We start from the raw sequence: 10,792 nt of genomic DNA, 5'->3' as shown, positions 1-10,792 counted from the left end.
TCTGCCTTCAACAGCCACGGAGGTCTCTGGGGTTAAGGTTTGCCTGCGGGCCCCGCCTCTTGTCTTTCAATTGGTCCCTCGCTGGTCCCGTCCTGGAGCCAAATTTTCTTTTCTGATTGGTCAGCTGCGAATTGTGGCTAGACCTGATCCAATGGCCGCTTGATACAATGGTGTCGTTCGGGAAACGCAGCCCTAACGTTGGTCCTAAGCTGACAAATTGGTCTGTGGACGCCAAACTTCCGTGCTAGGACTTTCTGCGTGTGGACCGGGGGCCTAGTCCTGCGTGGGTCCAACACAGACAGGAGAAAGCTGCCTGCTTTTGTGCCTCCCGGAGGTCCTGGTAGAAGCGAAACGGGGACAGGAGCTGCAGCGTCCCAAGCCCAGTGAGGCGAAGCTACTGGAGACAGCTCTGCCGGGTCCAAAGTTGGGCTCACCGGCTGGAACTTGAAACCGGAGCACGCCGGACTCCTGCTGAAGCCATCATCTCTCTCTCCTGGCCCCGGGCGCCTTGGCCGGCGGGCACAACTGGTTTCGGGGCCAAGGTGGTCTGGAAGCCTGACTGTGGCGTCTGGCCTGGGCTCCCGCGAGCGGAAAAGGTTCCCCTCCTGTGAGAGGGAAACTATGGAAGTTCCTACGCCCGGAGCCAGAACTCCTGCTGCTCCCGCCCGACCCAAGGTCTAGCTTGGCGGCCTCCCACCTGTGCTTCTGAGGGTTCTGCTTCCAAGAGGCTGCTGGTGCCCGGGACACCAGCAGTTTCGCCATGGGTGTTTCGCCATGGGAGTTTCGCCATGGGTGACTTTGGCCTGAGATGCGCTCCATGGAGCAGATTCTGGAGTTGCTGGTGTTGGAGGAGTTCCTGACTATCCTGTCCCAGGACATCCACAGCAGGGTGCAGAAGCTGCAACGGGCGAGCTGTGAAGAAGCTGTAACTCTTTTAAAGTATATGTATGACTTTTAAAAGAGAGAGCTTGTGAAACTGAGGGAATAGGTGAGTGAGAGAGAGGTTTTATCTGCCATCTTCCTCAAGGAGGCCCAGCCTCCCCTTTATTCATAGGGTTCTGGGTCTGGTGGGTCCAGAGGACTGAGACATCTCGCTGTCTTAATTCCCCATTCAGATTTTCTTGATTGCCCTGAGTAGACCTTACACGGGCCAGTGATTTTTTGTTGTTGTTGTTGTTGTTGTCTTCTCTGGAACCTTCATCCTCCAGATTTCCCCCCAGTGCAGTGAAGAGTGTGCTATTGCTTTTGGTTTCCACGGGGAGGCAGTGTCGCTGTCATAGTGTCCGCTCTGGAGGTAGATCAAAGGGGGCTTTCAACTCCTGGCTCTGCTCCCTACTAGCTGTGCGACTTTGGGCAAGTGACTTTTGCTTGGCTGGGCTTCACTTTCTGCACTGGTCAAATGCAGAAAGGGTAATAGACCCTTCTGGGGTTGTTTGGAGGATTAAAGGGAGAGCAGTATGTCCGTAATAATCGCACTGCTGGCACACAGCTAGTGCTTGAAACTGTGAGCTGCTGTTAGGTTAGGGGCAGCAGTCTGGTCTCCTCTGCAGAGATGGGTCTCAGTTAATTGTGAACTTAAACAGTTTGGCACTGAGGCTTTGGGGTCATTGCCCCAGGGCCACCCAAGTAAGCTTGTCTAATTGAGAGGAACAGGAGCAGCTGGAGAATGTGGGGGAGGAACCGAAGACCTATGGGGGACATGTGTGTACTGAAATGGGCTTTCTCCCCACACCCTCCACACAAGCACATACACACATTCACTCTGGGTCATGGCATCATAAAAACCTTGAGTTTAAACCATCCCTTTCTCTTGTTGGGTCCAAATGGACAGACTCTGGTTTTCTATTGAAGATTTACACGCAGATTCCTGTCATAATTTTTCTTTTCTATCGAGCCCTGTCATGATGATAAGTGATAGCAGGTTGGTTCCTAGATCATACACCATGGACCTAGCACAGAAGTGTTTTCAGAAGAGCCTTTTCCTTACAAAACAGCATGAAAGTCATTGAGCCAATGGATACTGAGATTTCAAACTGGAGCCAATGGATACTTAGAGGAGCCCTGAAGTGTAGAGTAGTTGCTACTTCTTGTTCACTAGGTCTAATTAGCATGTCATCAGTGTAACAGACTAGTGTGTTGTCTTGTGAAAGAGAAAGGTGATAAGATCCCTGTGAACTAAACTATGATGTAGGGCTTGAAAATTGATATACAATACGCCTGAGGTAGGATGGCGAAGGTGTATTCCTGGTCTTACCAGCTGAAAGTAAATTGCTTCTGGTGGTCTTTACTAACAGTTATTGAGAAAAAAAGCATTTTCAAGGTCAAGAGGTACATACTAGGTTCCAGGGGATATGTTAATTTGCTCAAGAAATGAAACCACATCTGGAACAGCAGCTGCAATTGGAGTCATCACCTGGCTTAGTTTACAATGACCCACTACCATCTTCCAAGATCCATCTGCCTTCTGCATAGGCCAAACAGGTGAGTTAAATGGGGATGTCTGCATATTTGAAGTCACTGATGGTATTACTAATCTCTTGCAATCTCTCTAGGAGTATGGTATTGCTCTTGGTTTGCTATTTTCCTAGGTAAAGACAGTTCTAGTGGCTTCCACTTGCGTTTTCCTACCACATTAGTCCTCACTCCACAGATCAGGGAAATAGTATGAGGATTCTGTCAGTTGCTGAGTATTTTTCTTCCAATTATACATTCTGGAACTGGGGAAATAACCATAGGATAAGTTTAGAGACCCGGAGGACCCATTGTGAGACAAAGCTGAACTAAAACTCCATCAATCCCCTGACCACCATAAACTGTTAACTCTGACTGGTGAACTGCAGTGACATTTTGAGGCTTTTGGAATCAGTGCTAGTTCAGAAGCAATATACAGTAATCGCTGAAAAGTTTGATTGTTTCATTTTCCCTACTGCACATTCACCCCTAAAGCCATAGATCTCTTTGGGGAAAGCTGCAGAAAATTAGCAGTATATATTTTTGGCAGTGGAGTGGAGTGGAGTCCTTCTTTATTCATAGGGTTCTGGGTCTGTAAATTGACTCAAATCTGGGAATTGATCGAAGGGCTAGGACTATTTTGGTGATTCAGGTTAGACTTCTGTGCACTCAATCTAGAACTCATCCACTTATATATATCAAGGAAGAATTTAGTAGACTGCCATCTGTTTCTCTTCAAGGGACACCATGACCAACTAATCAATGCCATATGTCCCTGTGAGTCAGACTATTCTTATTGCTGCATTGAATCTGCTGCCCATTACAGTAACTATGCACACTTTGTCTTTGTCAATTAAGTGCCCCCACTTGGCCCCTGCCACCCCACAATCCAGCTATCCTCATTACATTTAATTATACCGGTTCAGTGGCAGTAGTTTCCTCTAGAATTTCTGACCTATAAAGAAGAGCAATTACAAAACTTTTTGGGGTTGCAGGGGCTCCTCTCACAAATCTGTTTCTCAGTCACGAGACGTATGTTTTTTGGACCCTCCAACATGGGTGAGCAGATCAATCCACTTTAACGTTTCATGGGCTGGGCACAGTGGCTTACGCCTGTACTCCTGGGCAGAACAAGTAGAATCCAGTGACACCCCTCCCCCATAAACACACACTCACAGAGTCCCCGGACACTGTGCCTGCTCTAAGATTTGGATTCCTAGCAATATCAAGGTACTTGTTCTTCTGAATTCACTTATAATTTCTATTCTCTATTAGTCCCTTTAGACCCTTCCTCAAAGATTAAAATTTCAGGGGCACTGGCATCAACATTTTAGCTTATCAGCTGTCACAGGCTTTAAAAATTCAGAAAGGAGGGTCTTGTGCTCAGAGATTATCATTAAGCATTACTACTTATAATTTTGGGGATTTGGAATCGAGGAATATATCCAAAATGGGGAGATTGTCTAAAAAATTAAGATGCATTGATTTGATGAACTATTATGTAGAGATTAAAAATGATACCCATAAAATATGACCAAAAGCTAATCATTGGATTGTGGTGGAGGGTGTACAGGTGTTTACTGAACAGTTTTTCCAACTTTTCCATATGTAGGAAAATCCTCATAGAAAAAAGCTTGGGAAAGTCTAGAAAACATAAAACAAGACCTAAGTATGACATAATTTCTACATTGGAGCACACATGAAAAGAAAGAATAACGCTTTAGTTTGTTTTCATGTATGAAGTGCATAAAGTGAATCACAACTGTAAAAGCATTTGCACTAATTCTGAATTTGTCTCTCTTCATTGGGACCATCTCCACATTCTTCCTATCACTGTTTAAGTACTGTGGTGCCCAAAGTTGTGCACAGCTCTTTCAGTGACTGCTGTGTATGGAGAGAAGTTCAGAGCACAATTTCTTAGAGCTAGACTTGTGTTTAAGTATACATTTGCTGAACCTCAAATCTTTCGGAGAGATATAGATGCTGATATCTGACCCATAGGAGGGAGTAGGGCTCTTCTAGAGCTGGGCAAGGTGGAGCGAGGGAGGGGGCTGGGCACAGGGTAAATATGTACTGTCAGGCAGGCTGTACACTGCACAACTCCAGGATATATTGCATGTGAATGAATCTACTTTAATTGCAGAGTGCACAATATGTGTAAATGTATGCAGCGACCCTGGAGGGAGGCTTGGGAAAGAAGTGGGGAGTATTGAGACAGGAACCATGAAAGGTTGGGAATTCCGGAGCATAATGGCATGCTGCCCCACATCCTACTGGTAGCTCTGGGAGTGAGACCTGCCCTCAGTGCCCCACACCAACAAGAGGCAGCAACAGGAGTTCAGAAATGACAGCCTGGTATTTAGGAAAGAGAGGTCCTGCCACAGTGCTGTCAGATTCCCTATGGGTCATTTGTAGCATGAATGAGTTCCAGCTGCAGGCCCAGAAAGAGAATCCACAGAGGCACTGAGAAGACTGGTCAGCAAGACAAGGACCAGGACTTGAAAGAGAATGGTTCAGAGTATGTAGCTGTCCTGACTAGAGGCCATGATGGAAACCATCAATACCACCATCTGTGTGCCAAAGGCCAGGAAGAGTCAGTCTTATCTGTTGAAGATAGAGGGGAAAATGGCAAACACTCAAAGACCAAGGGAGATGAGGGAGCAAAAGGGACAGGCCCATCCTCCTTGCTGCAGTCATCTGTAGCCAGACAATTTCTTGGGGAGGAAGACGAGGGGAAGAAGAGTGAGAGTCAGAAGAGGAGTTGAAGGAGAAGGAAGTGAGGATTGGGTAGGGAGAGAGGGAGAGAAGGGAGAGGAGGACAAGAAGGAGAAAAGCAAGGAGAAGAAGTAAAGGAGGAAGAATAGCAGGAGGGAGGTGAAGAGAAGGGGGCATGAGGAGGGGATGAAGAAAGAGGAAAAGGGGGAAGGATTAGGAGGGAGAGTAGGGAAGGGCACATGAGAGGGACAGGGCAGCCTTCATAAGGATATTGGACTTTAAATCTACACAACTGAAATCAAGAACAAAATAAGCAATTAATTGCCTAAAAGTGATTATATTTTAAACCAGAAGGAATTGAGTCACCTTAAAGTGGCAAGGTTTGGTAGTTTCTTCTATCAGTAGAAATAAGAGTTTATGAGCATGTTGAGATGAGTTATAAAGAGAGTCACATTTCTGATCAGCTCAGTTGTTACTTCAAATTACAGATCTACTAGAAAGTGTCAACATCTGCAGAGTTTCCAAGTATTGCCAAAATGCTTACATGTACATTAGGAAATTTCTCTAGCTGAACTTCATGAAACAGCAGTTTTACAATACCTTATCAGCTATTATATGGATGAAAGTTCTCCATGCTAAAACAAAATTAAGAAAACCTGAGTTAAAGAAAAGAAATATGTACTTGTAATCGCATGCTTTCTTGGAATCTTTGGTACTGATGGGTACCATCTGCTTCCATCCTCTGACACCCCCTCAGGTATACAGTGCCCTCAGGCTGCCCCAGCTGTCTAGAGTCCTCTCTACCCCAGATTGCGGAGACAATTCTGAGTCTACCTGTCTTGTGCAGAAGCCAGGAGACAGAAGACAGTGCAGAACAGGAAGGGGAAGGAATGTTCTCTGAGAGAGGAACAGGTCTGTTGAGTGCACCTTTCCACAGATGCACCCAACCCCCAACTGGAATAACTGTTGCTTCCTCCTCTGCTCATTGTGTCTCTGATCCCTCCCCATCCTGCGAGCTCTGTCTCCTGCTGCATCAGTGACCTTCCTCCTCCTTGCATCTCATCCCTCTCTCACATGACAGTAGATCCTTCACCTCTCAGGGCTTCTCAACCCCCAAAATCCTCAAATTGCATCATCTTTCCTCTCTGCTTACCTCACACACCAAATTGACATGAGATGCACCCTGTCCTTGCTCCCTCTCCTTCTTGACCCTTCCCTGCCTCCTTTGCCCTGAGTCTAGAGCTGACGCCCTCATCCTACTGGCCTGCTTTCCAATGACATAAGGGAACATCTCGGTAGTGAATGCCACTTCTTCTTAGCAGTTTTCCTTCACATCTCACCTCTCAGAAGCATTTGACGACTGCTTGGAGAATTCTCTTTGCATTTAGGATTCCAATATTTACCTCCTCTGACACCATTTACCTAATGCACTCCTCCATTCCTGCCACCTACATGTGGGTGTCTTCAAGACTCTGTCCTGAGCAAAAAGAAGGTACAATTGAAAGTTTTCACGTGATTCCAGTTTTATAACAGGAAAAATGGGTAGGTATGTAGAGAACTGAGTAGAAGGAAATATATAAAAATGTTTACAAATATTTTAAAAAGTAAAAAATGAATAAAAGTAAAAATTTGAGTGGTTCTCTCTGGATAATTGACATTATGGCAGTATAGTTCACTCTTTATTCTCTGCTTTATGCCATTATGAAATTATGAAACTAAAAGGCCTCTGCAGTAAGAAACCAGCTTTGTAATCAGAAAGAATGCACTTATTTTCAAATAAAATTAAAAACACAGGTTACAAAAACAAAGTAATAACAGTGTAATGACTGTAAGTTGAGAGAGAAAAAATTATATACATTGTATATATGTGTGTGTATACAAAGTAAGGACAAGAAGAAAATAAAGCAAAATATGAAAAGCATTTTGTTTAGATAGCAAGAAAAAAGTTAATTTTCCTTATCTTCATTTTCAACATACCTTTAATGAATATCTGTTTACCTGCCCCCACACGCAGATAAGTTCCATGTCATTCTAGGTGCTGTGGGGTTAAGGGCCCTCAGGCTACAGATAACACACACCTAGTTCCAATCGTGCCTCTGCAACTTACTAGCTGTGTGTCCTTGGGAAAGAACTTCAAGGACTTCTTTGCAGGTATCTGATTAGTGGAGGTCCCTAACAACTTAATGACATTGGCCAATGATTGAATGTAAAGCACAGAAATCACACTTGAAGAATAGTCTCACTGTCAAGGGATCCCCGAACAAAGGCTCCTGTGGTTTACAAACCTGGGAATAAGGAGAGGGGAAGGTCTGGAGTGAAAAAGTTCTGAGTACTGAGCCAGCATGGAGAAAGGTGTCTTGAAGATTTCTTTTCCTCTCTCCATAAGGAAGTTCAGGCAGAGGCACCAGGGCTAAAGGCCCCGGATAAGTGGGCTAGGAGTAGGGCTAGGGCTAGGAATGCAGATATAGGTAAGAGGATGGCTGCCTGGGTAGGGGACTGAGCCCTTGACTGCAGCTCCCTTTGGACAGTGCAGTGCATTGGCTGTGGACCACCTCTGATGTAAGGAGGGCAGCCTTTCACCCAGATCATGAGGGCTGCCTAAAAAGTCACTCATACGTTTTTGGCCAGGAGCCAGACTCCTCAGATATGGTTAGATATTTCATTCCATTTTCCTTTGAACATGTTCGTGCATATTATGTACCACAGTCTTTGTCTATTTGGGCTGCTATAACAAAATACCTTTGACTGGATAATTTATAAATAGCAGAAATTTATTGCTCACAGCTCTGGAGGTTGGGAGTCCAAAATCAAGGCACCAGCAGATTTGGTCTCTAGAGAGGCTTCACTCCTTGCTTCATAGATGGTGCCTTCTTGCTGCATCTTCACATGGCACAAATGGGTAGGGGACTCACTCAGGCCTCTTAAAAGGACACTAATCCCATTCCTGAGGGTACAGCCCTCATGAATTAATCTCTTCTCAAAGGCTCCACTTCTTAATACTATCACATTATTAGGTTCCAACATATGAATTATGTGGGGACAGGAATATTCAGACAGCAACCACAGTAACAAAAAGGTTACTTTTTCTTAATGAAGAAAACATAAGGATAGTATTTAATGATGCGAGTTTAGGTGGGAAGCAAAAACAAAAAAAGGATAAGTTGGTGATTACCATAAAATTCAGGATAGTGGTAACCTTTAAGAGGGAGGGAGAATATTGTGATTAAGAGGGGCCAGGTGTGAGATTTCAAAGTTGCTGGCAAGTTGTATTTATTTATTTGGATGGCAGTTCCAGGTTTTACTTGCGGTGGATCATTGAGCTGTGTATACCTGTGAAGTACTGGTTTATCCATACACACAGACATGCATATAGCACAATTATATATGAGTATATGTATGTGGGTGCTCAGGACTTGGAGGTGAAGTCTTTATATACCATGCCAGGGCAGGTAAAGCACAAGCTCAGCTTTTGATCTGTTTTCTTCTCCCAACACTCAGAACACAACTCACTCATCCTGCCAAGGAGAGTAAAAGGCTTCATCATTTCCTTGGATTTACCTTGAATGTTGATCCTAAGTCACCATAGCTGTGAGGTAGGGACAGTGTCCTGGAGACTAAATTGGCTAGAGGGGCAGAAGGGGAGTGAGAAGGCAACTTCAGGGAGGCATTAGGTAAGTCCTGGTGGTCGAGCTAGAGCAAGCCAGGAGAGCAGTGCCTCCCAGAGAAGGGGCATTCAGGAGCTGCTCCCCGTGATGCACTGGAATAGGGAAAGGGGATAGTCAGTACTCTCCATCGAACTTAGAAGAAGATCCCAAACCTTCTCAGATATAACAAGGTCCTAGGAGAAGTTGGCCCTGCCTACTTCTCCCAGTCTACCTCCTCTCAAACTTCAACCTCTCATCACTGCCCCAGCCATTCTGCCCTCCTGTTCTTTAATCCCCATGAGGTCCTTTACTCACACACATTCTTTTCTCAGACTGGGAAGTAAAAAGAAGTAGGTCCTTGCAGCAGTTGGGACTAGAGGGTTTGTAGAGTTGCTTGGGGTCAAAACAGAGGTTAGGGGTGAAGAGGATTTGGAAGGTGCTGCCACTGCTAAGAGGCCCAGGAGTAGCAGCATACAGGGAAGGTAAAGAGGTAAAGATTCTGGACCTCCAATCTTCTCTGGGCCATGTGCTCCCTCATAACTGTGGTCCTGGGGGTAAATGTGAGGTTAAAAAGAAAGTATTTCAGGCACTGGATTCCCTGGCACTAAGAAGAAATAGTATTAGCATGCACATGTATAATAAATATACATGACACACTGGGCGATGATCAGAGACCCTGCACTGGAATCATGCAGCTGTGTGTTATGATCATCGCCTAGAGCACAGGCCCCTCCATACACAGCAGGGAGCCCCTTCATCTTTTTTCCTTCAAGCTGGCACTAGCTTGAAGTGGAGTGAGAGAGAGTAGGGCAGCCCATAGAAAAGATGGAGGGAGAGGGGGTCCACCCCTTCCTGGTTTCATTCCTACTTCTTGTTCCTGTTCCTTTTCCTACCCCTAGAAGGCCGAGCAGTGGTGGGCATTGTGCTGCTTTCTTTGAGAGCCTTTGGGAATGATCAAGGATCTCCCTGCATATTTGGCATTGGTTCTTCAGGCACAGGACAACGGATGTTGGTCAAGCTCCACAGGAAGTGAACTTATCAGACTAGGACTGTAAGCCCCTAGACAAACCAAAGGAAACCAGAGGCCTGGAGGCATCCTAAGGCTGATGAGTGTGGACATGACTGGTCCTCTGGAGCAGGCCCAGGGAAGGGTCACTCTCTACCCCAACCTGGCCTGGGGGAATGGCATCATAGATTGCTTGGGGTAGAAAGTGACCCCTCCCACTATTATACCAAAAAATCATTTACAGATTTTCTCTTTTCCTTTCCGCCAAAATAGCAATTGGGTGGTTTTCAGGTTAAAGTCTTCAAGACAATATGCCTCTCCCATGGAACATATCCATGGTTCCATTAAATTAGAAACTGACAATGACCAATTGTTTCCTGTCCATTCTAAGCTGTTCAGGTTGCAGAACTGATAGCTGAGAAGGGGTGTTGAATAAGTAAGTAAACTGGATTATTAAGGGGGAATTTTAGTTTGCTGCTTCATAGCGATGAAAAGATGATTATTTCTGGAACTGAGGGGATTCACTGGGGTACCTCCTAGTACTCCTGTGTCCAGTTCTGATGTTCGTTGTAAAAGTGCTGCAATTCCATAATTATATCACCTCTAAAGACTGAGATTTTTTAGACTGATTTTTTTTGGGGGGAATTAAAACTTTGGTTGCCCCACCAGGTAAAGATCCACCAATATTTTGAGATTTTGGCAGAATTTGTTTTGCGGGAAGGTAGGTGGGATGATCTATTCTTTGTCCATCCCATGATATTGTGTAGGAAAATGTCTCATCAGCCTTAAGGTTACAATTTACAATTTAGATTTCAAGTGGGATTATGATAAAAAGTGACCTCACCCTATGATAATATAAGGGCTAATGGGACTTTGTGTGGTACCCTGTGCTAGGCAAAGGGTTCCTTCATCTGCTCAAAGCAACAGTGGGTGCTGGTTGTGGGAAAAGTGGTGGATTATTTTTTGTTATTCTCAG

At 45.0% G+C, this 10,792-nt stretch overlaps 1 protein-coding gene across 6 annotated transcripts in view, besides 3 other annotated features; it reads left to right on the top strand.

The window, feature by feature from the left end:
- ZNF75D (zinc finger protein 75D) overlaps window positions 140–10,792 on the top strand; it is a 95,521-nt gene continuing 84,868 nt past the window's right edge. For 3 of the 6 annotated variants that reach the window (NR_110381.2, XM_047442487.1, XM_047442485.1), the window contains exon 1: window positions 140–988. Coding sequence is in view for 1 of the 6 variants with exons in the window: in XM_047442486.1 (XP_047298442.1) it covers window positions 2,429–2,481 (53 nt within the window). In the remaining 5 variants the exon portion in view is untranslated. Of the gene's footprint in view, window positions 2,482–10,792 lie in introns of all 6 variants that reach the window. The other 3 variants (XM_011531397.4, NM_007131.5, XM_047442486.1) reach the window with 2 other exon arrangements.
- Window positions 382–541: an enhancer, noted in NCBI's record as "active region_29980". NCBI's record gives its function as "activates an Ori minimal core promoter by ATAC-STARR-seq in GM12878 lymphoblastoid cells {active_cell/tissue: GM12878}" and the evidence as "EXISTENCE:reporter gene assay evidence [ECO:0000049][PMID:35858748]".
- Window positions 5,735–6,235: an enhancer, noted in NCBI's record as "H3K4me1 hESC enhancer chrX:134471939-134472439 (GRCh37/hg19 assembly coordinates)". NCBI's record gives its function as "activates a minimal SCP1, AML or CMV promoter by ChIP-STARR-seq in primed H9 embryonic stem cells {active_cell/tissue: H9 hESC(primed)}" and the evidence as "EXISTENCE:reporter gene assay evidence [ECO:0000049][PMID:30033119]".
- Window positions 6,236–6,736: an enhancer, noted in NCBI's record as "H3K4me1 hESC enhancer chrX:134471438-134471938 (GRCh37/hg19 assembly coordinates)". NCBI's record gives its function as "activates a minimal SCP1, AML or CMV promoter by ChIP-STARR-seq in primed H9 embryonic stem cells {active_cell/tissue: H9 hESC(primed)}" and the evidence as "EXISTENCE:reporter gene assay evidence [ECO:0000049][PMID:30033119]".

Source organism: Homo sapiens, chromosome X (assembly GCF_000001405.40).
Source record: "Homo sapiens chromosome X, GRCh38.p14 Primary Assembly".
Lineage (NCBI taxonomy): Eukaryota > Metazoa > Chordata > Mammalia > Primates > Hominidae > Homo > Homo sapiens.
This window is presented reverse-complemented; position numbering and strand designations above follow the sequence as displayed.